This window comes from Homo sapiens, chromosome 4 (assembly GCF_000001405.40).
Source record: "Homo sapiens chromosome 4, GRCh38.p14 Primary Assembly".
Classification (NCBI taxonomy): Eukaryota; Metazoa; Chordata; class Mammalia; order Primates; family Hominidae; genus Homo; species Homo sapiens.
In genome coordinates this window covers 22,611,728-22,639,039 of record NC_000004.12, presented here as the reverse complement: position 1 = coordinate 22,639,039, position 27,312 = coordinate 22,611,728, and the positions used below count along the sequence as shown (strand labels likewise).

Sequence of the window (27,312 nt, the reverse complement as noted above, 5' to 3'; positions counted from 1 at the left end):
TTGTGGAAATACAAGGAACTTTTTTTGTCTTTTATCTACACAGCTTCTTCTACAAACATTTAAAATATAACATTCCTCTATGCAAGTAAGTTATAAGACTACCCAGGGCTGTATAACCGACAAATTCACACCCAGTTCTTCTGATTTCAAACCTGGTGTTCTCTCCATTGCACTCTAATAAACGTACCCTTGAGTATATGGGAGCAAATAGCACATACACAATCATACAAATGTAAGTACTATGTATATATTATATATATACACACATATATATAATTAATTCCAAGGATTAGATCTTATGCAGTGTGTGTAGTTCTTACTAGTAGACAAAACAATAAACGCATTTTGCTGGGCATTTCAATGCTACCTTCAATTTGTGAATTTCAGACCAATTTATTTGTAAATAAAAAATATTTTCAGTGTCTTTGATGCTCAATTATTCTACTAAGTCTATTTACAGACTTTGTTCTTTGAAATAGTAAATCCAGTTTACTATTTAAAACTAAGTGGTTTGTTTTTATTCTAACTCTAAACCAACAGAAATTTATCCTTGTCTGCTTCTTAAAAAGTACATATGAATTTTATGTGCTGCCCATTCTTATCGAAGCCTAACAAAGAATCTATTTATTCTATGCATATATAAAATTGGAAATAGATGACTTTCATTAAAATTAAAAATTATTTTGATATTATACAATATTTGGACATCATTAAAAAGGACTCGTAAGTTCCAACAAACTAAAAGCTTATATTTAAAGTGGCACCATGAATAAACATGTATTTATGATCGTTTATTTAAGGGCTTATTTTATTACGTGTTGCATTCATTTGAGGTTTTATTTTGCTGCGGACTTAAAAGGAAATAGGATCTTTTTTTCCCCTCAGTCATACTTGGAAGAGAAGCAGCGTTTTATGGTAGAAAGAGTATTGGCATGGAAATTGGGCATTCAGGTACTTCTGCTATGTAAATTTGAAGAGGCCATTTCACCTCCCTTGAACTCATTTTTCGTCCCAATAAGGTAAAGGACTGAGAGTAGCTGGACTCTCAGCTTTTTTAACTTTTATATTCGAAGACTCTGCTTCTGAGCCTTTGATGCGCACATCAGATACCTTGGCTGTACCCAACACACCTCATACCCACAGCCAACTTATTAACCTTCCTTTAACCAACTTGCACTAAACCAGCTGGAATCAATTTATAATTCCTGAGGGACTTTATTAATAATGATGATGGCGATGATAGTTAAGACTTCTTGAGCACACACTGTGTGCCAAGCAGCATTTGCAGTACATTACTTTTAAAACCAATGTTTCTGTAATTATCCAACAAAATGTTGTAATTATCCTAATTATCCAGCCCCCAACTTAATACCCAGGCTCTTTTCAGCTTCTCAAATTATGAGATGGAGTCTATCTCCCCACCTTTTGAATCTGGGCTGGCCTTGTGGCATGCTTTTGTCCACAGGATGCCATGGGCATAATGGCGTGCCAGCTCTGAGCCTGGGCCTCCATGCTTGCACTTGGAACTCTGCCACCACCCTGAAAGTAAGCCCAAGGTAGCCTGCCAGAGATCAAAGAACGCATGAAGCAAAGGCTTTTTCTAGTCACAGCTCCAGACATGGGAGAGAGCCCCACCATGACTAGCAGAGCTTCCTAGCTGGACCCCAGCTGGCCACAGATGCACGAGTAAGCCCCGTGAAGCCCAGCTCATTTCAGCAGAACCACCAAGCTGAAACAATAAACGGTTATAGTTCTAAGCCACAAGTTTTGGTGTGGTGTGTAATGCAGCATTCTTGTGTCTACAGATAACTGTCACTCTGCTCTAAACACATCGTTTAGTTTGCTCATTTACTCCTCATGACAGCCTATACAAGAGGTATTATTATCCCACTTTAGAGACGAGGAAATGAAGGCACAGAGAAATTGATAAATTTGCCCAAGATCGCATAGTTACTATATTTTACAAATGATAAAATACCATTGATTATTATATCCACCACTATATACTGCTAAGAAAAAAAAAACGAGACTTAAACGCATCCTAATTTGTTACGTAAAAAAAAGTGGGGAAAAAAAGGACATCTTAGAACAGATGAAATATGGGAGTAAGTGGTGGGGGCCAGGCCTTTGGCTTGGGAAGTTTCACTTATTTGAAATAATTTGAGATACTTAAGCATTTAACTGGTACTTTAGGAACTGTATGCACCTTTTACAGTTTTCTAGAATGTCAGAGGATGTGCAAGGAACTTGCTCGTCTTAAAAATTGTTGTTAATGCCCTGGGCTTTTATGTCTTTCTCTGCCCACTTCTGTGCATATTGCTGAATCCCTTATGCTCTAACTACAACTCCTCTTCTTTGCCGTATACTTCATTGCCTGCATTATTTCATTAACATTTTCTCTTCCTAAATCCCTCTCTGGTTGGTTGGTCTTCTAAAAATTCCTCCAATTTATCTATGTCTCTTAAAAGAAATTAAATGCTCACTTACTAAATACAGTATTAATGAGACCTAATCACTAGTGCTGAATTAGATTAATTACCTTGCTTGTTTTGAATGTGACACTCATCAGTCAATTAATATTCCACATGTGTGATCACCCCATTGTATTTCTGAAGACAGATTAATCTGACCATGTATTTTCGAGGTAGACAGACCAAGATCAAATATTGCTTCCTTCTGCCACTTGCTATTTCTATAACCTTGGACAAGTTACTTATAATCTTTGAGATCTAGTGTCCTTATATAAAAATGGATATGAGCACATTCCAGCGCATATCATTCAGGATTTGTTCTGAGAAGGTGAATTAGTGGACAGGGAAGAAAAGAGAGAGGACTCTATATGTGATTAATTTCAAAGATTTCATCTTATGCAGTTTTGAGAGCCAATTAGATCATCAAGGTGAGGCTGAGGTTGGGCTATATAACCTGACGCCATCAGGTCCAGCACTCCAGAAGAGATGAACATGAAGGACAAATTGCAGCCCGCAATGCTAAATAGAATCAACTAGAATGTTCTGGAAGCCATGTAGGTGTCTCACTATCTCCCAGCCTCCAGTATGAAAGATAGGGGTGTCCTGCTGGGTAAGTTGCTCCCTCCCTCACAGAGCTACACACACACCTGGCCCGCTCACCTGACCCCTGCTGGCGGCCTTCTGAAGCTGAAGGATATGGCAATTGCTGGAGGTGTTCCAGATCTGGCTGCTTCCCCAGGCTGAAAGATGAACCACTTATCCATAGCGAGATGCCTGAGCCACAGCAGTGTCTGGTGCCCCGCACTTAGTGTTGCCAGTTTCAGCAAATAAAAATAGAGAATGTCCTGGTGTGTCCAGAATTGGTGGGTTCTTGGTTTCATTGACTTCAAAAATGAAGCCGCAGGTCCTCACAGTGAATGTTACAGTTCTTAAAGATGCCCTGTCCACAGTTTGTTCCTTCTGACGTTCACACGTGCTCCGAGTTTCTTCTTTCTGGTGGGTTCGTGGTCTCTTTGGCTTCAGGAGTGAAGCTGCAGACCTTTGCAGTGAGAGTTACAGCTCACACACGTAGTTCCAACCCAAAAATTGAGCAGCAGCAAGGTTTATTAAAAACAGCTAAAGAACAAAACACCCACCATCTGTAAGAGAACCCTAGCGGTTTACCTCTTCCAACCCGGGCAGCCTGCTTTTATTCCCTTGTCTGGCCCCACCCACATTCTGCTGATTGGTCCATTTTACAGAGAGCTGATTGGTCCATTTTACAGAGAGCTGATTGGTCCGTTTTGACAGGGTGCTGATTGGTAAGTTTACAAACTTTGAGCTAGACACAGTGCTGACTGGTGCATTTACAATCCTCCAGCTAAACATAAAAGTTCTCCAAGTCCCAGACTCAGGAGTCCAGCTGGCTTTCACTGGTGGATCCCACGCCTGTGTGCCCGCACTCCTCAGCCATTGGGCGGTCCATGGGACCAGGCACTTTGGAGCAGGGGGCTGCGCTCATCGGTGAGGCGCGGTCCGCGCGGGAGCCCACCGCGGGTGAGAGAGCGAGGGCATGGCAGGCTGCAGGTCCCGAGCCCTGCCCCGTGTGGAGGTGATTGAGGCCCGGCAAATTCTCGCGCGGCGCGGGGCACCCGGTGCATCCTCCGCAGCTGTTGGCCCGGGTGCTGAGCCCTTCACTGCCCGGGGTCGGCAGTGCCGGCCGGCCGGGCGCTCCGAGTGCGGGCCCGCGGGGCCCGCCGAGCCCGCGCCCACCCGGAATTTGCGCTGGCCTCCGAGCGCCGCGCGCAGCCCCGGTTCCCGCCCTCGCCTTTCGCTCCACACCTGCCCTCAAGCGGAAGGGGCCCGATCCCGGCCTCAGCCGGCCCGTTTCGCTCCACGCCTACCCGCAAGCGGAAGGGGCGGGATCCGGCCTCGGCCGGCCCAGGGAGGGGCTCCCACAGTGCAGCGGCGGGCTGAAGGGATTCTTCTCAAGCATGGGCGCCAAGACCGAGGAGGCGCGCAGAGCAAGTGAGGGCTTGCCAGCACGCTGTCGCCTCTCACAGGTACATTTAGATTTGAGATAAACAACAAATAATTTTTAGGCACATATAAATGTGTCCCAAATACTGCATACAAATATTCTTTTAATATAAATATGTGTCATGCAGTATGGGGACATATTTATACTAAAAAAATTATTTTTGTTTATCCCCATTCAAACTTAATTAGGCAGTCTGCATTTTATTGGCAACCCTAACTTTCAGGAAAAAATGATGGTTTCTACTTTATGTCTGACTTCCAATTCAAGTAGAAAAAAAGTGTCTTGTGGGGAAATCAAGACCACAATGACATATTATCTCAAGCCCATTAGGATGGCCACTATCAGTAGAAAACAAGTATCAATAATGATACGAAGAAATTGGAACCCTTGTGCATTGTTGATGGGGTGTAAAATGGTTCAGCCACTACAGAAAATGGTATGGAGTTTCCTCAACAAAAAATTAAAATAGAATTACCATATGATCCAGTAATCCCACTCCTGGGAATATTATTTCATAAAAAGTGGAAAGGATTTGCTATCCTAACAGTTCCAGACCCCCTCTTAGTGAGTAAACTTTTTGGGAAAATATCTTGTAATAAGTTAAGAATCAAAGCGATATTAGAGCATGACCAAACTTCAAAAGAATTGAATGTTAAATGATTCTACCTAAAAGAAAAAAGAAAAATTTGATTGTTTTGGAAAACGGGAATGAGAAGAAAGTGGGGACAGAGAAGCAAGGGGAAAAAGAAGTCAGCAAGATAAAAAATTCTAGAGAAGAGTGAGGCTGGGTTAGGGGGGCTGAAGGACTTGTTTAGTTAGAGTCATGCGGTCTGATATTCCATTTGAATTTTCTCTTCTTAGTCAAATAGACTTTTCTCTGTTTCCTTCCACTTTATACACACACACACACCGTTCACTACCATCCTACCTACACCAGTCACAGGCTTCAGTTTTGCCTACTACACTTGTGAATGGAGAGGGGAGATTGTTACTGTTGTTGTGACTGTTTTCGAAGAAGCTGGGTGTCACCTTTGTGCACAAAACAGAGTATAAATTGAAAGGAAGATGCAGCCATGAGAATATAAGGTACCTGGGAATTCAGACAAACCTAGAATAAGGCAATGGAGTTTGCCACACAGATTTAAGTCAAGTTTAAGATAAATTTATCCAGTCCTCAAGGAATTGGAAGAATCTGACAGATGGATTACATTTTTTTTTTTTTGGTGTTAAAATGGCCTCTCAGTAAAATGGTGGTCACAGCTGTTCATTTTAAAGTGTTATTCTAATGTAGTCTCCCAATTTAAAAACGATTGTCATAATGCTTTCTAGGAATACACACACACACACATACACACACCCCACACACCCCTACCTAGAAAACATATTGTGAAAGAATTATATACCAAATTGCTCACGGTTATTATGTGGAAATACAAGGCGTATTCAATCTTAGCATTAATATATTTTTGTATTTTTATAACTATAACTGAGTTTTTTATAACTAATATATATTGCTGTTGTAGTTGGAAAAAATGAAGGTTTGTAAAATCACTTGATAAAAGAAAATTTACAAGTAAGTACTTCATCACAGCGAGAAATTTTAACATACTCCTTCTCAGCAATTGACAACTAAAACAGACACACACACACACAAAAACTGTATAGAGGGCATTTAAACAACCCAATTAGAAAACTTGATCTAAGAAATACATGTAAAACACTGCACTTAACAAGTACAGAAGACACTGAATGTTTATAAACATTTCACCATGTACTAGACCATAAAGCAAATACCCACAATTTTTAAATAATAAATATCACACAAACCACATTTGTTGATATAATTAAGATATAAACCAATGACAAAAATTTGAGTAACCCATAAGAACAAAAATATAATTGAAATTAATAAAAGTTCACAATAAAAATAGTACATATCAAACATTGTGGGAGATAGTTAAAGTTATGTTTACAGAGGGAATTTATAGCCTAATATGTATATATACAGGTTGAGTATTCCTTATCCGAAATAGTTCCGACCAGAACTATTTCAGAATTTGAATTTTTTTCACATTTGGGAATATTTGCATTATATACTTACTGGTTGAGCATTCTTAAACCAAAAATCTGAAATCCAAACTGCTCCAATGAGCATTTTCTTTGAGCGTCATGTCAGTGCTCAAAAGAGTTTCAGATTTTGAGCATTTCAGATTTTGAATTTTCAGATTAGACTCAGTCAGTATTAGAAAAACAAATAACTTGAAAATTAAGCTCTAAGCATCCAAAATAAGAAGGTAAAGAAAGAACTATACTAAGTTCAAAAGGATAAAAAGAAGAAAATAACAAAGATAGGAAATGAAATTAATAAAATAGAAAACAAATATACTGACATTCAGTCCAGCCAAATGTAAGTTATATGCAAATAAAACTAACAAAATTATGAACCACTGGAAAGATGGATCAGGAAAAAAAGCAACATGAAACAATACTAGAAATGTAAAGGAAACACAACTAAGGATGCATTAGGGATGAAAACACCACAAGGTTTTTAAAACTCTTGGCCAATAAATTTTAAAACTTAAGTGAGAGGACAAACTCCTAGAAAAATACTGAATTACTGGAGCTGACTCAAGAAATCGAAAACTTAAATGATTATTGACAAAATCACTCATTTTAAATATTTCTACGAAAAAGCACCATATTCATTTTACAGTCATGATCTGTCACATTTTAATTTCAATATTATACAATTTCTATGGAAGAATAAAAGGTGTGGAAACAATTCCCAAGTCATTTCCCAAGGTTAATATAACATTGACACAAATAATAGACAAGGACAGTACAAGCACAGAAAATTGTAGACACATCTCACATGTGAACACAGACACAAAACCCCCAAAACAATATTATCATGGCAAACCAAATACAGCAATGAGTTTAAAAAAAAAAAAATACTGAAAATAGGTCATAAGCAGTTTGGGTTTCTTGTAAGACAGGAGTCTGGTTCAACTTTAGAAAACCTTGTAATGAGCCATTTCTGGTAATATGGTAGGCTGGGTTTGCATACTGACCCTTCCACTGAAACCAACCAAGTTCAAAATAAGTCCGCATGCAGTGGCTCATGCCTGTAATCCCAGCACTTTTAGAGGTCAAGACAGGTGAATCACTTGAGGTCAGAAGTTCAAGACCAGCCTGGCCAACAAGGTGAAACCCCGTCTCTACTAAACATACAAAAATTAGCCAGGCGTGGTGGCGCAGGCCTATAGTTCTACCTACTCAGGGACTGAAGCAGGAGAATTGCTTGAACCCAGGAGGCAGAGGTTGCGGTGAGTCACTGCACTCCAGCCTGAGTGACAGAGTGATACTCTGTCTCAAAAAAAAAAAAGAAAATTAAAATAACATCTTTTAAAAGTCATCTTACAAGCATCAAAGGGCTGGCTAGAAAGTAAGTAATCCTCTGACCAGAGATCAAAGGGAGGTGGATTTGATAAATTTATCCAGAATTTTGTAATCAGAACTGTTTTAAGAAACTATTTTAACTACAACATTGTTTCATGTTTTATAGTTTCTTCCCTTCTTCATTACACGTGGATGAAGAGACGAGGAAGTAGAAAGTGGATCACTGTAATCTTTTCAGTGTTGAGGGACTCAGAATTCAGCCTCTGGGCAGAGGCTAGATCATGAGTCTTTTACTCTGTGGAGGATTTTGTACTTTATCTTAAAGGCAGCTGTAAGCCATTGAATGACGTTAAGGAGGGAAAATAACATAATAGATTTGCTTTTCTGAAGGTCATTCTGACTGCTGTGTGGAGGATTTATTGGGAAGTGGGAAGGGGAGGATGGGAGACTGGAATACAGAAGACCGGTTAGAAGAAATATTGCCCCTGATCGAGAGAGCTGATAAGAACTTCAACTAGGGCAATGACGGCATGGAGGAAAATGGACTGGATTCAACTTAGTAGTTGACTGAACCCACTAAATTTGCTGACAAAGATAGGGGACTTGTCAGAAATGATTACAGTTAGCTTTCAATTTAATAGTAATAATTAAACTGTCAGGCCACCGCTTCTACTGGATGTGGAAGTCTTTGTTAACTACAAAGCACTGTACACATGCAAAGTGGGATAATTACCCACAGAACTCATACCTCCAAATTCCATGTGCCAGAGGCAAGCTCTGAGGGTTGGAAAATGAGTTCCCGTTTATTGGCGATCAACAGCAGGATTGCACATGTATTCCTGAACAATGAAGTTACTGTTCATTCTCAAGTGCTCATTACAATGGAAATTAGTAACACTTGAGTGATAGATGCGGCTCTGTTCTGAATATGCCACTTAGCAAATACTTGCTGCAGTTAAGTGTCGAGAATTCACACATTGATGGATCCTAGACATGAGTGGCTATTTTTTGTGAATGGAATGAAGATGGATACCTCACCCTGAAGAGTAAGCATCATGTCTACATGGGTTAGGAGCAAGATTTTTTTATAACTTGGTATTTAGGTGTGAAGGACTTTGTCTGGTTATGCATATTTACGTTTTTGACCTTGTAAAAAGAAACCCTTGGCTCGCTCTTACCAATATCTTTTTAAGTCAAAAGCCTTTAACATGTAAAGCCTTTAACATGTAAAATTCAGCCTGTAACCAATTCTAATTTCCCAATCTACTTCTTAACTTGGGAAACTAGGAAAAATGCAATAATTCAACTCTGCTATTAGAGAATGTGAATATAAGAAAAAGGGACCCTCCTGTGACTCCATCAACATCACAGAACTCTCCTCACATATTTAATGATCATTTCTATATAGATGATACTGATCAGCACGTTGAAGAAAAACTGAATAAATGAAAAAAGCGCATGTATTCTTTAAGATCACTTATATTCTTTCTGCACTGGGATTTAGGACATAGCATATTTAGGCTTCGTTTTGGCTGATGGGTTGCTAGGAAATAATCCTGTAGCCTCTTTCATACCTCTTTGCTCATTTTCTGCCCTTGGTAAAATATTCATTTTGAACTCATAAAACCTTTTTTTTCCCCAAGAAAAGTGTGGACTTTCTTTTTTAACAGATTTAGCACTGATAGGACTGCTTGCCTTAGGCTGCACTACCAGTAATTGAATCTGCATGCTGAAGTGGTAAACCCTAAGAATTTTTAGAGGAAGGAAACATGACATATAAAATGAAGTAAAGGCAGGCTGATGGAGAAGGGAAAATTCAGTGTTGGGCAACTTCCTGACTCCAGTGTGTGAATTGTGGAATAATCGAACATTATAGCATGTACTGAACATTAATTCTGTCAAAGTTTCCAGGGTAAAGAATAAACCTGTAGTCTACTCATCTCTCTCATCCTCCAATTTATGTTTGTTACATAATCATTGCCATTATTATCCTCATTCATGGGTCAATTTTATTATATAGTTGGATTAAGCACTGGTTTCTTACAGTGAATAAGAATGTATTGTGAATCTGTTACACCTCTAGGCACTAGGGACTGTAATAATTTATTACATTTGCCTCTTCCTTTAAAGGAGCTCATAGTCTTCTTTGGAAGAAAGATAAATATATAACCATAACAAAACATCCTAACTCTATAGTGAAGGGTTATATAGAAGCACAGAGGAGACACACCTAAGCTTAACAAGTAGAGCAGGTAGGGAAACAGAAAAGGCTTCCTGGAGGAAGGAGTATCCATCCTGTCTTAATGTAGTCTTGATGAACTCTGGGATATATCTTGAAAGTGATGAAAGTAGATCCAAGTTCTTTAAAAGCAATTGGAAAATACATGTCAAATGTCATTAAAAAATATTGAGACCTAGAATTTCTCATTTATGAATCTTAAGTTTAAAAACAATCTGAAACACAGAAAAAATACATTTAAAATGTTAATTGTAATGTAACTATGGAAACCAGCAATTGAGGTATTTTTAAGGAAATTATAGTTTATCAGCTCAATGGTCTAGAGGGCAGACACATGATTTTTGCTAAGAATTTATCATAGGAATTGGTAGTCTATTCCACAAATATTTCTTGAGCAGTTTACGCCAAGCACTGATCTGGTCTCTGTGCACAAAAAGTCAAATAGACATGGTTCCTACTTGAAGGAGCTCATGGTAAAATAAGAGATACAGACAATTAAATTAACTCTTAGAAGAGAGATGGATTCTAGTGGCAGAAACATGTCATTAGAATGCAGATGAGGCCTTGTAAATCAAATCAGCAAAACATGAGGAGCTACCAAAGGAAGATGGGGCAGAACATGAGTTTTGAATGATAGGAGGGCAGAAAAAAATGGAAATAAAGGAAATTTCTTATTTTACATTATGTGGGAAACAAAAGCAGACTATAACATTGGATATGCAGTTTGTCCATAACTATATAAAACCAAATATAGTTTTTTTCCATATATGCATAGAAAAAAAGAAAGTGAAGAAATAAACTAATGTTAATAGTGATTGTCTTATGGGTGATGTTTTTCTCACTTCTCCTTTTTGGCCTTCCCCAAATATTCTATTATAAGCATTATTATTTGTAAAATGAAAGAAAGATGCAAGGGGTTGCCAGCAGGAAGATAAAAGGCACAAAGTGTTCACATTTTAGAAGAGAACTATTTATGGTCAGACTTACAACAAAATAGGATAGGCATATTTCCAAAAGGCAATAGCACAGGGTAACATGCCCAAGGATAAAAGACCCTTCTGTGCCCCGACATACTTGCCACAATCTTTAAAAAAAAAAAAACAATGAAAACTACAGATATAGGCCATGTCACATAAGTCACCTAGAAAATTCTTATTGGCTAAGGTCTTGACTCTCCCTTGGGTTCATCCCTTTGTAGGGAATCCACTCTGCTCAGCTCTGAGCCAGGCACCAAATCTGCCATTTACTCAATGCATTAGTGCCTTGAATTTGCATAACACTTTGAAATTTATGAGGCATTTTCATAATGTTTACTTTCATTTTATTTTCTCCACAGCCCTGTGAGGTAAGTAGGACTGACACTATTTTTTCTCATTTTACAGTTGAAGAAACTAAGACTTAGATGAAGTTTCTTCCCTCTGCTTACGAGGCTGGTAAGTGTTAGAAGCAACACTAAAAGTCAGATGTTTTTATGAACATGTGTTTATTCCTCTGCATCACAAAACTCATGATAGACACTTCTGTCTTTGCTAACAAAAACAGACGAATATTTGTGAGAACAGAAGAGATGTCTTATTTTTCATCTAAGTGGGTTCAAGTGGCTAGGAAAGTTCTAGCACAGGAGAGATGCTCTATACATTTGTGAGGGGTGGCAATAAATGAAAGGATTATTAATAATAAATGACAGGATTTAAAACTTAATAAACATACAAGTCCTAAATAAAGTATCTAAAATAGATATTATCATTGTCCTTAGGAATCCACTCCGAAGAGCAGCACACACACACACGCATCAGAAAAAGGGAAAATAAATGGGTTAGTTGGGAAGAGTAAAAAGAAAAATTTTGAGACAGATTTCTAATTAAATAAAATAGAAAAATTTGTTATGAATTTCTGTTTTATTCCAAAAAAAATCTATTTTCCCCTTTAAACAAAATTTTACATTGGGAGAAAAAAAAAAAACAGGAAAAGAGCAGATGTCTTTGAGAATCATCAAAACATGTCTTATTTCTTACACATGCACATACCTGCTCTCTTTCTGCCTGCATCTAATAAGGGGACTCATTTAGCATTCACTGATGGACATAAGAGTATTTGTGTACTCCTGCTGAGCCCGTGAAGTTTTTTTTTTAACTTACTAAGGTGGTGCACGCATCATGCGCTAGTGACTTTGGCTATATATGCCCTTTGAAAAATCTCTAATGACATGTTGGACACCCTGCATATAAATGTCACCGCTTGGTGACATTTGAGAGTCACCAAGACTCTCAAAAGTCATTGGAGAGTCAGACTTTTGCTCATGGGAATGTTCTCTGCCTGGCCTCAGTGTAATATCCCTGACCTAATGAAAGCAAATGGTTCTCAGTAATTCCCTCCTAAGTGCAATAATGCATATTCTTTTTCAGATGCTTATAATACGGTGTCGGTAAATAGCTTAGCAATACACATAGGAACAATTCTACTAATGGATAAGGAAAGAAAATTAAATTGCTATCTGTATAGCCCTAGACCTTTCAGATTATTTTCAAAACTCATCACTGCAACAATGATTTATCCCATGTTATTTTAACTAGCATGGCAGACTTGGCTTTCTACATGTATGGAAGGTATCTTTAAATCCGTGTTACTTTTTTTTCTTTTTTTCTTTTTCTTTTTTTTTTTTTTAACAAATGACCTTTGGGAATGATTTCCAATAACTGCAGCCAACTTTAAGCTCAAGGCTTGGTGGTGAAAGGTTACTCTACATTTAGACTAAATGAGGATAGATTTGTACTCCCTGCAGCAGGCTATTGCTTTAGGACTTGCTATTGTATTTGACCCAATCTTCTTTCTAACCTAGGCATTTAGACAGCTTCCATCTGGGTTTTGTTTAAACTTTTTTTTTAAGCTTCAGTACAAATTAAAAGGCTTTACATATTGGCAAGTAACTTTTTTTCTTTAGAGATTCACATTTTTCTTAGAAATCTAAGACCATAGAAAACAGTATGCATGCTGAACTTCTCATAAGAATGACTCCATGAATTTTGCATGAAGGATGCTCCCAGTCCATAAAAGGGCCTGGCAAGGTATATGAGACTGCTCAGATCCCTCATCTCTCACTCATGTTTTTCCTTCAAATAACATCTTTCCTTATAAAAGAGGAAGAAACAAGATGACAAACCCTTGGACGAGGCAGCTATACATAAGCACTGCATAAGACTGCCTGAAGAAAAATGCAAGGAGATGGATTTTTTTCCTTCTACTAAACTCTGAGGACCTTCAGATCACAATTGTCACTGTGAGGGCCTTCTCAGGAGCAAAGCAGCCCCCTGTCCCCAGCGTCCTTTCCTCACTGTGGCCTGATGACTTCCTGTATTCATGTGACTTTGTCACATAATGCAGTCTTTACAAATGAGTCACAGGAATGCTTTCCTTCCCATCCACGGTAGAGAAGGACTTGAAAAGCATTCAATAGACTTAATCTCTCTGCATGTCTGAGTGGGCTTCAAAAATGCTGAAGATCAGAGTCAAAGAAGGGGATGTCTCCCTCACTTCTTCCTTCCTGGATCCCTGTCTGGCCCAGCTAGAAAACAAAATCGCTTCCTAATGCTGGGCAGGTAGGGACTGGAAAGGACTCTGGACTGGGTGTCCGGAGACCTGACTTTGCATTCAGCTTCTGTCAATTACCAGTTATGTGGCTTGGGGCTAAATCACTTGTCCGCTGGGCTTGATCTTTTTTATCTGAACAGAATGAGTTAAAAGAATTAATTCTGTAAATTCAGTGAAACAATATCCAGCTTTGTCCACAACTCCTTTTTCTAAATGAGTGTCTTCATATCAGATTCCTCAGGGAGAGAGTCAGATTACTGCAAGTGTATCTGATTCTGATTTTAAAGAAGGTTCTGGAATGATTCCATTTGTCCTAAGAATGCACCAGAATAAAATGATTTCTTATATTCAGGCAGCATTTTTAAAATTCTAAGTAGCTTTTGCTTATCCCACTTATTTAGTCCTCCTGTTGAGCGTAGATTTGGAGTACATTGTTGGAGCCCCTCTAATGTGCTTTGCTGCTAACAGGCTGGCACTCCCACCCATGAGAAGATTGCTCAGTGCACTGGGTCCTCCTTGTTCTCCTGGTTCCTCCCTGTGGTGGGGGACACCTCCTGCTGACTGGCCAATAACAGAAGTATGTAGGAATACAAAAGGCCAACTCCTTTGCCCCAAGGTGAATAAGTTCGGAGATGTAATTTATGCTCTGCAGTACCCCTCCCTCAAAAATCAGGCTGAACTATAGCAAAGATATAGAATCAGCCCAAGTGTCCATCAATGACTAAGATAAAGAAAATGTTTTATATATATATATATATATATATATACACACACACACACACACAAATATATATACACATATATATATACACACACACATATATATACACACACACATTGGAATACTGTTCAGCCATTAAAAAGAATAAGATCATGTCCTTTGAAGCAATGTGGATGAAACTGAATGCCATTATCTTAAGTGAAGTAAGTCAGACGTAGAAAGACAAATACTGCATGTTCTCGCTTATAAGTGGGAGCTAAATAATGTGTGCACATGCACTTAGAGTGTGTAATGATGGACAATGGAAACTCGGAGTGGTGGGGGCAGTGGGAGGGGGCAGACGATGAGGTATTATGTAAGGAGTACACTGTACATTATTTGGGTGATGTATACCCTAAAATCCCTGACGTCACTACTGCACAATTTCTGCATGTAACAAAATTATACTTGTATGCCATACATTTATACAAGTAAAAAGGAAAGTCAGGCTGAGTGTGGGCTCCTTCCCATTCCCTGTGTCTCTTCCCCCAACCCTCACTGGCTTCTCCTGGAAGCACTTGCTCACCACATCACTTGCAACTGAAATCTTGGCTCAGGAGAACCTTATCTAATAAAACAATAGATTTAAACAACAAAGTAAGGGTGGCAGGACACAGTAGGTGTGTTATCAAAAGACCCATGTTTGCAGCTCTGCCGTGTAACAGCTCTCTGACCTGGAGCAAGGAGCCTAGAGCCCCAAGCCTGTCTTTCCTCATTTGTGAAATGAAAATAAGTATGCCTGGGCTGGGCGCAGTGGCTCACACCTGTAATCCCAACACTTGGAAGTCCGAGGCAGGTGGATCATTTGAGGTCAGAGTTCAAGACCAGCCTGGCCAACATGGTGAAACCCCGTCCCTACTAAAAATACAAAAACATTTAGCCGGACGTGGTGGCACGTGCCTGTAATCCCAGCTCCTCGGGAGGCTGAGGCAGGAGAATCGTCTCAGCTTGGGATGCAGAGGTTGCAGTGAGCTGAGATTGGGCCACTGCACTCCAATCTGGGTGACAGAATGAGACCCTGTCTCAAAAAAAAAAAAAAAAAAAAAGAAAAGAAAATAAGTATGCCCACTCTGCTTACTATATGCTTGTTGGGAGGACCGGATGAGATCATGGATGATGGAAGTATTTGAAAGCTGCCAGGCACCATGCAAACATAAGGAAGCTAATTTTTAAATCGGAAACAAAATTATAACCTAAAGCTAAAGTCACCGATAGGGTTTCAGAAGAAATCAATTCAACAGCAGTTATAAAATACAGAAAACACACTTCATATCTTATTCTCCTCTTCCCTCTTCCTTTCCCACATTTTTCATACTTCCACCATCCAAAATGTTTGCTGTTCTTTTCAGGATTCCACCTGTGTTGGAACACTGATAGTGACTAGAGAAAGTGTTGCATTCACCTCTTGGTTACTCGCAGTTTTTCACCTGGTTAACCATCTTTGCCATGCCTGCCTGTGTCCACTGTCCACTCCTGAAGACTGCTTTTCATCTTATTAGCCCCTTATTTCTTTCATTTCAAGTTGCATTGGATCTTAAAACTTCAGGAAGGAAATAGGCATCTCCCTGAGTTGTTATAGGTCATAGTTCAAATGCCATACTTCAGATTGTGTGAGGCTGCCATGAATTGACGGAACACAATAAAATAGAGTTACTAAAATGTATGGCCCAGATGGTGGCTTGATTAAAAACATCTCAGTGTGTCCAAAATATCATGGCAGGCATACACAATTTTTTTTCCATGAAGGCCCTACAAGATTCACGATAAGATTTTATTTTTCATGAGGATCTAATTAGAGAGCTCAGCATGAGAGTCTGAACACATGAGCAGTCAGTATAGTTTGGTGCAATAAAATATTCCTTGAACCCGTAGGCACCAGGGATAAAAGGAAGAATAGCACATAGCCCCTGGTGGGGGAAACAGATACAAAAACCAGGTCATTAGAATATGATAAGGGCCCAGCATGCTCAGAGTGATGGCACCCACTTTGGGGTTCAAAAAACACTTTCCCATTTAAAGGGGTGTCCAGTCTTTTGACTTCCTTGGGCCACATTGGAAAAAAAAGAATTATCTTGAGCCACACATAAAATGCACAAACACTAACAATAGCAGATACGCTTTAAAAAATTGCAAAAAAACATAATCTCATGTTTTAAGAAAGTTTACAAATTTGTGTTAGGCCACATTCAACGCCATTCTGGGCCTCATGCCACCTGCAGGCAGCAGGTTGGATAAGCTTGATCTAAAGCAACACCTTCTCCAGCTTTTATGAGACTACTTGAACCCAGGGCCTTCTACGCACTGTTCCGCACCTTCGCCTCCTTGATGCCTTCTCATCCCTTGGGACTCTTGACTCATTCATTGTTTTCATGCACACACTTGTTGTGTGCCTAATTCTGCCAGGTACTACTCTAGACACTGGAATTTCCACACAGAACAAGACACAGCCAATCCCAGCTGTCTTGATTATAGAGCTTACGTTCTAGCAGTAAGAAATAGACCATTGAAAAGGAATTAGGTAAACTATAGGCCTGCAGACTGCAGTAACCACCATGAAGGAAGTACACGGAGTGGTGAGACCAACAATAAACAGGAGAGGCCTCCTTGAGGTCAGGGAAAGCCTCTCCAACGGGAGACATTTGAGCTAAGACATGAAAAAGGAGAGAACATGTTCTAGGTAAAGGGAATGTCCGCGAGGCTGGAAGAATTTGTTGTAATCAAGTGACCAAAAGGAGGCCAGTGTAGCTGGCTTCAGTAAACGCGGAGCAGGGTGCCAGGGGATGAAGCCAGAGGGTGAAGCTCGGCCGTCTTCTGGGTCGTGGGAAGAAACTGGATTTCATCCTTAGTGCCACGCAGCGTTTGAAGCCAAAACTGCGTTTTAAAACACACATTTGAAGGGAAATCTGATATCAGAGCCCATGGCAAGGAAAAGCGCCATCCCGGGTGAGCCGCCTCAGCTCTCACCTGGATCACTGTCTTGCTCGTCGCCGCCCCCTGCCTCCATCTTTACCCTCCCAGAGTCCATTCCCAACACAGATCCTTTATCAAGTTAGTGAAATCGGGTTATTTTTCTGCCTTAAATTCTGACACGGCTCCTTGTACCATTCGCAGGAAAAGGCTTGGAATCCCCAAGGCCTCATGCCCCAAACTCTGTCGGTCCCCATCTGCTCCACCACACTGGCTTCCTTGCTGCCTAAACACACGGCCTTGCTCTCTCTCCCTTTAGGGCTTTTGCGCTGCTGCTCCCTCTGCCTAGAACCCTTTCTCCCAGGATAGCTGCGTGGCTGACTCTGTCACCTCCTTCAATTCGTTGCTCAATGTCACCTTTTTTTTTCATCTGGAGTTGGAGTCTTGCTCTGTCACCCAGGCGGGAGTGCAGTGGTGCGATCTCGGCTCACTACAACCTCCGCCTCCCGGGTTCAAGTGATTCTCCTGCCTCAGCCTCCCGAGTAGCTGGGACTACAGGCCCATGCCATCATGCCTGGTTAATTTTTGTGTTTTTAGTGGAGATGGGGTTTCGCCATGCTGGCCAGGCTGGTCTGGAACTCCTGACCGCAAGTGATCCGCCCACCTCGGCCTCCCAAAGTGCTGGGATTGCAGGCTTGAGCCACGGCGTCTGGCCCAATGTAACCATCTTAATGAAAACCCCATTCCCCTCCACACCCCTGCCACGCGTCCACCACAGTCTCCTCACCCTGCTCTGCTTTTTTCCCCATAATACTTGTCATCTTCTAACATGTTCTACCATTTACTTACCTATCGTGTCTATTACTTATTGTCTGTGTCCCCCTTGAGAGACTGGAATAAGCTCCACGAGACAGAAATCTTTGTCTGTGGGGAGTCTATCCATAGCCATGGGCGCTCTGTCCTTCCAGGTCTAGTGTAGGAGCGGATTTCCCTGCCCCCCCCCCCCCGCCCCCGAGTTGGGCGTGGCTATGTGACTTGCTTTGGCCAATAGAAAGTGAGCAGAAGGGATGCCTGCTGCTGCTGCGGGCAGAGCTCTTCCCAGTCAGCACATCTGCCACGTCCATTCCTCCCTCCGACACAGCATCTGCATCTTTGTAGATGGAGGCTGCTCCACTGGGCTCGCTCCCTGAGTGATTAATTCGAACATTATTCCCCTGGCAGCCATCAAAGGACATAGAGTATGGTAAAGGAATAAACCTTTCTTTTTAAGCCACTGTGATTTGGCAATTGTTTGCTATTGCAACACAACCTAGTCTATTCTGACTATGTCTCACATGTTCAGGGGTGCCTTCTGAGTACTGACAACAATGCCAGGTGCACAGCATATGCTCCATAAGTGTTTGTTGAGTGAATTTCTCTGTCTTTATTCTGAAATTTTTACACAGCATAATTTAAATTTAAATGTGCTAAAGTTGTCACCAATATCTAGACACAAGCTTTATTCCATTGAGTGTTGTATGACTGACATGGTCAACAATCAACATTAAGTACCTACTATGCAAGTTAGGTCTTTCTTAGGGCCCCAGAGGAATAAGCCACTGTGTCTACCTTAAGGTAGTTTGCGATCTAGTTGCAGAAACAGAAGATGTGCTCAAAATCATCTGCTCCACTGTGTAGTAGTGGGTGATACATCCTAAAACTGTCCTGAGAGTTCAGGGGTGGAAGCCACTAATGAGGATGAGGCTGGTGAGAGAAAGGGATAGGAGGCTACCTGAGCTGGGACTTGAGGACATAGACAAGCAAAAATGAGCCGGGAAAAGAGGATTTCTGCCAGAAGGAACAACATTCAATCACACACAAGCAGGAATAGATCTTGAAACATTAGAAGGTAACATATACCACCAAGGGTAGAGGCCAGATTTCTTCGATTGCAATGATGGATGTCTATGTGCTGGCTCCACGACTTTAGATGAGTCAAGTTAATTCTCCATGCTTCAGTTTCCTTATTTATAAGGTGGCAATTATGATGATACCTTCCTCAGCCAGGCACAGTGGCTCACGCCTATAATCCCAGCACTTTGGGAGGCCAAGACAGGAGGATCACCTGGGCCCAGAAGCTCAATACCCGCCTGGGCAACATGGTGAAACCCCATCTCTACAAAAAATACGAAATTAGCCAGGTGTGGTGGCATGTGCCTGTAGTCCCAGCTACTTGGGAGGCTGAGGTGGGAGAATCGTTTTAGCCCCAGAGACAGAGGTTGCAGTGAGCCGAGATTGTGCCACTGCACTCTAGCCTGGCTGACAGAGTGAGACCCTGTCTCAAAAATAATAATAATAGTACCTACCTCAAAGGGTTGTTGGGTAGATTAAATGAATCAATACATACAGCATTTAGAATTGTACCTGGCAGATAGGAAGCATTCATTTGGAAAGAAGAGTTGAGAATTGAGCAGATCTCAGATTTTGCAAGATCTTGAATCTGAAATAAAGCAGTCTAATGTCATTCTATAAGCAAAATATTTTCCATTTGCAGCTCAAAGATTTTGATCAGAAATCTGTATTTTAGAAGCTTAACATCTCAGCAGGGTGAGTCTGGGTTGAAAGTGGGAGACACTGGAGGCAGAGACACTGGTTTAGAGGCAGACATGATGATCTCACTGTGGGCAATTTTAAGCACACACCATGGTAATGGCCAAGGAAGAAACATGCTGGAGACACTCTAGAGAAAGTGCTCTGGACCTACCAATGGGTCATATGGGAAAGGAAACAAAGAAGCAAATGGCCCCAAAATTTCAGGGTCTGGACAGCTAAGAAATATGATGATAACACTGACCAAAACGGTGAAGATCAGAGGGGAACAGATTTTAAGGGAAAGACAACAAATTCTATTTTAGACACTAAAGTATCAAGGTCAAGCCATTTAGAAAGAAATTAGATATGATAAACTGAAGCTTAACTTAAGGCTACGCTCAAATGTCACTCAGAAAACCTTCCCCAAGTAACTTATCTAAAATACCTGACTCCTCCCTCACTCTCTAGCTCATCACCCTAATTTATTTTCTTCATTTCACTTCATGACACAATAAGACCGTATACATTTGTTTATTTGCTAATTGTTTGTACGCCCCTCCCCCACTCTCTAATGTAAGCTCAGCAAGAACAGGAACCTTTTCTTTCTTATTCATTGCTGTGTCTGCAGAGCCCAGGAGAGTGCCTGGCCCAGTAGGCTTTCAAGAACTATTTTGTGGAATAAACTCATCTTTATCTGGCAGCTTAATTGCCAAATATATACTCACAACCCAAGGTCACCTTCAACCTGTATAGAAACTTCTATCCTTTTATTATTAGGGCTTAAAATACACACAGAGAGACAGAGACAGAGAGAGAATCAAAAAAGGAAGACTAGCTAGTAAAGAATATTAAAATCTAAGACTGCATAAATTCGTGGCCAGGCGTGGTGGCTCATGCCTGTAATCACATCCCTTTGGGAGGCCGAGGAGGGCAGATCACAAGGTCAGGAGATCGAGACCATCCTGGCTAACATGGTGAAACCCCGTCTCTACTAAAAATACAAAAAATAAATTAGCCGGGCCTGGTGGGGGCGCCTGTAGTCCCAGCTACAAGGGAGGCTGAGGCAGGAGAATGGCGTGAACCTGGGAGGCGGAACTTGCAGTGAGCCGAGATCACGCCAATGCACTCCAGCCTGGGTGACAGAGCGAGACTCAGTCTCAAAAAAAAAAAAAAAAAAAAACCTGCGTAAATTCAAACGAGAACGGTCAGTGGAACAGAGTGAGTATAGATAGACTTGAACCCATGTGAGGATTTTGTGTAAGTAAAGTGGTAATCAGTAGAAGAAAGATATATGATTTTCATCAGTATTTTGAGCAAAACTGACCAACCACCCGGAAGACAAACATATCTGGATCCTATCCTCAAGCATTACACCAAAATAAATTTCAAATGTGTCAAATTTTTAACCATAAGGTAAGAAATCATCAAAAAAATTGTAAAAGTCATAGAAGAAAATAGCTCATTTTTAAAAAACAGCTGTAGATTGAGAAAAGCCTTTCTAAGAATGGTATGAAATGCATGCATCATTGTAGAATATTTAATTAATATACACATATTAAAGACATCCACACACATGCAAAAAAATTTTCATGACTTCAAAACACAGCAGACTTAAAACTTATTTAGAATATGGCACACAAGTATCTAATTCCTTTAATGTGCAACAAAACTATTATAAATAAAAACTAGATGTGTAGAAAATGGACAAGCTATAGAAAAATAAACACCAATGATTAGTAAACATAAAAGCACTGACCTCACTCATAATTTTTTTAAACGTTCATTAAAAACATGAAATAGCAATGCCAACAATTTCAAAGTCTGACAATGCTAAAGGCTAGAGGATGTGGGTGAAATAACAAACTCTCATACATTGTTGGTAGGAGTATAAATATATATTACCTTTTTATGGTCATTTAGCAATAATAACCAAAAATGTAAATTTCCATACTGTATTAGTCAGGGTTCTCTGGAGGGACAGAACTAATGGGATAGATGCATATACAAAGGAAAGTTTATTAGAAGAATTGACTCACAGGACCACAAGGTGAAGTCCCACAATAGGCCATCTGCAAGGTGAGGAGACAGGAAGCCAGTCCCAAAGTCCCCAGACCTCAAAAGTAGGGAAGCCAGTAGTACAGCCTTCAGTCTGTGGCCAAAGGCCCAAGAGCCGCTGGCAAATCACTGATGTAAGTCTGAGTCCAAAGCTGAAGAACTTGGATTCTGATGTTCGAGGGCAGGGAGCATCCAGTATGGGAGAAAGATGGAGGCCAGAAAACTTAGCCAGTCTAATCTTTCCATCTTCTTCTGCCTGCTTTTATTCTGGCCGCCCTGGCAGCTGATTAGATTGTGTCCACCCACATTGAGGGTGGGTCTGCCCTTCCCAATCCACTGATTCAAATGTTAATCTCCTTTGGCAATTGCCTCACAGACACACCCAGGAACAACAATACTTTGCATCCTTCAATCCAATTAAGTTGACACAATATTAACCATCACACACACCTTTTGGCCACATAATTCCACTTCTAAGAATTTAACCTGTAGGATATACTTGCATTCACAAAGATTACAAGAAGGTTCATTGACAAATTGCTTGTAATAAAAAATTTCTAAACACATACAATAGTTATCTGCCCTTACTATAGGACTTCTATTCAGTAGAATACAATGCAGTTATTGAAAACAATGAGGTAGATCTATAGGGACCAACAAAAAGGTGTTTACAATATACTGGTAAACAAAAGCAAAAAACAGAAGTAGCTGAAGAGCATCTACAGCATGGCCCTATACGTGTAAAAAGCAAAAAGACAAATATAAAAATCCCTGTAAATGCAACAAAAACTTTCAGAATGTTAGATAAGCAGTCCCTTATATAAGCAGCTCCTTACGTAGCATTCAGAAAGCTTTCATTGCATATACAAGGATTTTTGTATTAGTCTTCTTGCTTTTAAAGACATAGGGGGTGTGATTAAGGGTAAAGTGACCTTTTTGATTTTCGCCTTACACTCTCTCAGTATTGGAAACGTCTTTTATGATGAATATGATTAGTGTTAGAATTCACAAAAGGAAGCATAAAGCCCTCGGTGTTTCAGGCACAGTCTCCTTTTGACCCATCCCCCAAAAAGCATATCTAGTGTCTGCCTGCGACTGAAATGACAAGTCCTCAGGCCAGCCCAAGATATCTACCAACTGGAACATTAGGAAATCATGTCAATTTCCAGAATCTTCTGAAACTCTGCAGGAGTTGTTTTATTTTTGTTTGTTTGGTTTTTTTTTTTTTTTTTTGAAGAAAGTAATAATTAAGTCTAAGTCTAGTTTTCTTATCTTCAGTAATCATCAAAAACTTAACCAGGGACAACCAGAAATCCTAAAATAATTCATGTGCCTTAAAATACCCAACTTTCCTTCACTTGTTCAGTTGGTAATAACTTGGGATCTTCTCCACCACTGCCTGGGATCTTCTCCACCACTGCCAGGGGAGCTGGGAAGCTGAAAGAATGACTGGCAAGACCGTGCCATGGCAGGACGGTCTGTGGCCAGTCCATCGGAAGGCCAAACAATTCTAAACAGCTACATCACAGGTACACGTACACGTGCACATATGAACGTGTGTGTGGTGAGAGAGAGAGATTCCAAGCCAGTACCATCATTTCATCAAAGATGTTTAAATCCAGAAGTACTATATGTATTATTTATATTCATGCCTTGTTTCAAAATCATTTAAGGAAAAGAGATGAAATTTTTAAAATCCCCAAAGATCTAGATTATTATTCTTGCAACTTAAAATGAGTATATATTTCTACTTTGGAGTCTAAGACACCAGTAACATATTTTTAAGGCTTTAACTCACTTTTGCTGTGCCTGATCTTTTCCAAGAATTTAAAAGAGATTTCTTTAGAAAAATGAAAGAATATTTTCAATTATCCTTTGTCCTTGATTTTTTACAAGAGCTGTCATATAAAGCATAGTTTTTATAGTGTCCCACCTTTTTAATACATCAGAAAAATCATTAAAAATTGTCAAGATTGGATTTTCCTAACGTACCCTTTCTATACTAAATGATCAATTGAGTCTATCAGTTGGGATTGCCAGATACTTTAGAAAGAAATAAAAACAATTAGTTGAGAAAATTAAAGACAGCATTATGAATAAACTATGTACATTTTGCCAAACTGTATAACATTAGGCATAGGAACTGAGGCATGGATCATATTATGTCTATTCTGTTTTAATTGTCAATCTTGTCTCACTGGATGGTAGTCAGGGTTCCAGAGGGTTTTTTTGTTTCCTCAATGTCTACTTCTTTGACACCCTTTCTTGTCCTCCTATGAGATGTTTTCTTCCTGAGTCCCTTGCTAGGCCTACCAGTTGAGCATGAGGCACTGATCTCTGTGAGTTTATTCAGCATCTGATGCTACTAATATAAGATCTTTTTACCGTTAACTCCACAGATGATTTTTGCTGTTGCTGCAGGAGTGAAGAGGAGAGTGAACATGTGTTAAGCTCTTCTAGATACATGGCACACATTATTCATTTAGTGTTCATAGCAACACCATGCAGTAAATTTTATGGTTATCACATCTCTCTGATTTGCAATCAGTGGCTTACAGATGTTAAATAAGTTGCCCAGTGTTGCTCAGCTAATGGTGGTAGAGCTCAGACTTGAACTCAGGTCTGTGAATTCCAAAACCCATGCTACAGGCCAGGTCAAACTAAAGGGCAAGCCAGATGGCCTGCTGCCCAGGGGTGCTAATCTATAAAAAGCACAGGACATTACCGGAGTAAATCAGTAATGTGTTGTCAGTTCACTGAGGTTCTCATACACAAATCTTCACATAGTTATAAACTGATTGCACTGCTACGGAGCTACACTGCTCCTGTAAGTGGAAATAACACTGCCACCAGCACCAGTACTTGCTACCTCAATTGAGTATTTTTATGAAACACATTGCAGGTTGCACAGTGCAGCTTCAGGCCATGACCCACCAGCCAGGGGACACTCACATGAGTCTCATAATCCATTCACAGTCAGTTCAAATTCTAAACCCAAATAATGCTGGTCCAGTGCTTGTAATTGGGAATGCATTCAGTTGTAAATAGTTTTCATAATAGCTTCCCAAGAATTTCTTCACTTTGGACAACTACAAGTAATGAAGGAAAGAAATAAATCACGATTCTGGACATTAAAGAAGAGGAAAGCCTCTTATTTTCTAGTCTAAGGATCCTGCCATCGCCATCTGACCTTCCTTCTGACCACTAGGCAGAAAGACCTCCCATATTCCCTCCTTTCCCTGTGCATTTGTCCCTCATGTCACCTCTTCCTCATCCTGGTTGCTTCGTGCTCTCTTCTTCTGCTCTACTCTTTAACACAGGGTCAATCCTGCATATTTCCTTTAGCCTTGTTCCGGAAGGGCACAGCTCAAAGCTCCTCCTTCTCCAAGAGAAACACACATGGAAGGAGGTGGTATTTGTGTAGCACACACAGTGGACAAGACTGCTCTGCTGGAGGTGGGAGGGCAATGAGCTTAGAGATTTGGGCTGGCCCAGGCCCTGACTGGTAGACCCAGGAGCCAGGGGGCAAATACCGTGGCACACCTGTTTACTGCCCACAGTCTGCTGCCTGAGAAGCTCTGCCCTGAAGAACACTAGAACTTCCATAACTGTAAGCTGGGTCTAGATCTGATTTTCTCACTTATTATAAATACATCAAGAAAAATAAAACAGCAGATATAAGTAACGCACACTAAATGGGAAATAGGAATTTGAAGTCTAAAATGAAAATATTTGTTTCTGGAGAGAAAAAAAACAGATGGGTGGTTGAGAATGAACATGCATTTCATGTAACCAATACCTTGTTAAGGTTGTCAACTGAAAATTATAAGAGCTGCCTCTGAAAATATCCATAAAATATTGTACTAATTTATTAGTGGCTAAGTTAGATAAGGGCAATAAAATAAAGGAAATTTTATGGATTTCTATTTGGTCTACAATTTTTATAAAGCTTTAGAACTTTAATAAATGTTGTCTAACTTGTGTTAGCCACATCAAGGTTCTGCTTCTATTTTTTATTTTAAACGTCTATGGTTTCCCTTTAAATTAATCAAAAATGTTCTTCTTATAAAACTATAATAAGAACTATTTGCTTCCCTGGCTACAAATATTTAGATTACATAATCACTTTTTCTTTCCTTCTTAAGGTTGTGGTAAGTGAAAGATATTATGCATATAACAATAGTGACTATATTTATTGAGCACTTACTATGTGACCTGCACTACTCTAAGTATGAAACGTGCATGATAGCATTTAGTCCCCATGAAAACCTCACAAGGTAGGGATTGTCTCTGATAATCTCTATTGTAGAAGGCTAAATCAAGGTTTACAGATGCTAAGGAAATTGCCTGAAGTCACATGGCTACTAAAATGAAGAATTAGTCCTGGAACCCAGTCTTACTGACACCCAAATTTGTGATCTTACTTACTACATTCTACTGCTACAAAGTATTCTTTGAGTTGAAATAGATGTTTTCATTTGGAGAGACACTGAAATAATTGTTTCCTTTTTTTTTTTTTTTTTTAATAATACTCCTTAAAAACACAAGCTGGAATCTGCGCTGCCCAGCACCCTAGGGCTCTGTGAAGTTTTTCCATTTGAACAGATGGGGGATCTTGTAGGGAGCTAATCTTTTCATTCTTTATGTTCTTAAAAATAGACCCAACGGCTCAGTAATAAGCACCAACATTAACGTTTGTGATTAGTCCTGGTGATGACTTACCAGGACACAGAGTTTAGGAGTTTGGAGATCCTGCCAAGCTTAGCTGAAAGTGCACATCTAGAAGAAAAGACGCAAAAGTAGCCCATGGTTCCAGGAAATGGCAGAGGACTGATCCTTCATGTCATGTTTTGGAAAAATGAGAGTTATCAAATGTTTAATAGAAGGCAGTTTGAGACAGTGGAAAGAACTCTATGTTGAGAGGCAGACCGACTTGGGTTCAAATATGGCCCCATGAGGGTTTTTGTTTGTTTCATTCACTTTATGCCCAATATAGTGCCTGTTACATAATACGCCCTCAGTATTTTCTGAATGAATGACTAAATGGGTAAATTAATAACTTACTGAACCCTCAGTTTTCTCATCAAAGTAATAGGTGTTTCTCAGAAAATGTCAGCTTTAAAGTTTCAAATACACAAAAAAAAAACTTTTATAAAACTGTTTCTCTGGCTTTGTCCCATCTCACAAATGATTTCTAGAGGTCTTCAGTTTGTTCCACCTGACTCATAAACACACCATGTACCATCTATCACCTACCACCTGCCAATTTTCTCCCCATTTACACCAAACACCTGCCGAGATA

At 40.0% G+C, this 27,312-nt stretch overlaps 2 annotated features.

The window, feature by feature from the left end:
• Positions 12,875-13,576: an enhancer, noted in NCBI's record as "OCT4-NANOG-H3K27ac hESC enhancer chr4:22627087-22627788 (GRCh37/hg19 assembly coordinates)". NCBI's record gives its function as "activates a minimal SCP1, AML or CMV promoter by ChIP-STARR-seq in naive and primed H9 embryonic stem cells {active_cell/tissue: H9 hESC(naive and primed)}" and the evidence as "EXISTENCE:reporter gene assay evidence [ECO:0000049][PMID:30033119]".
• Positions 13,577-14,279: an enhancer, noted in NCBI's record as "OCT4-NANOG-H3K27ac hESC enhancer chr4:22626384-22627086 (GRCh37/hg19 assembly coordinates)". NCBI's record gives its function as "activates a minimal SCP1, AML or CMV promoter by ChIP-STARR-seq in primed H9 embryonic stem cells {active_cell/tissue: H9 hESC(primed)}" and the evidence as "EXISTENCE:reporter gene assay evidence [ECO:0000049][PMID:30033119]".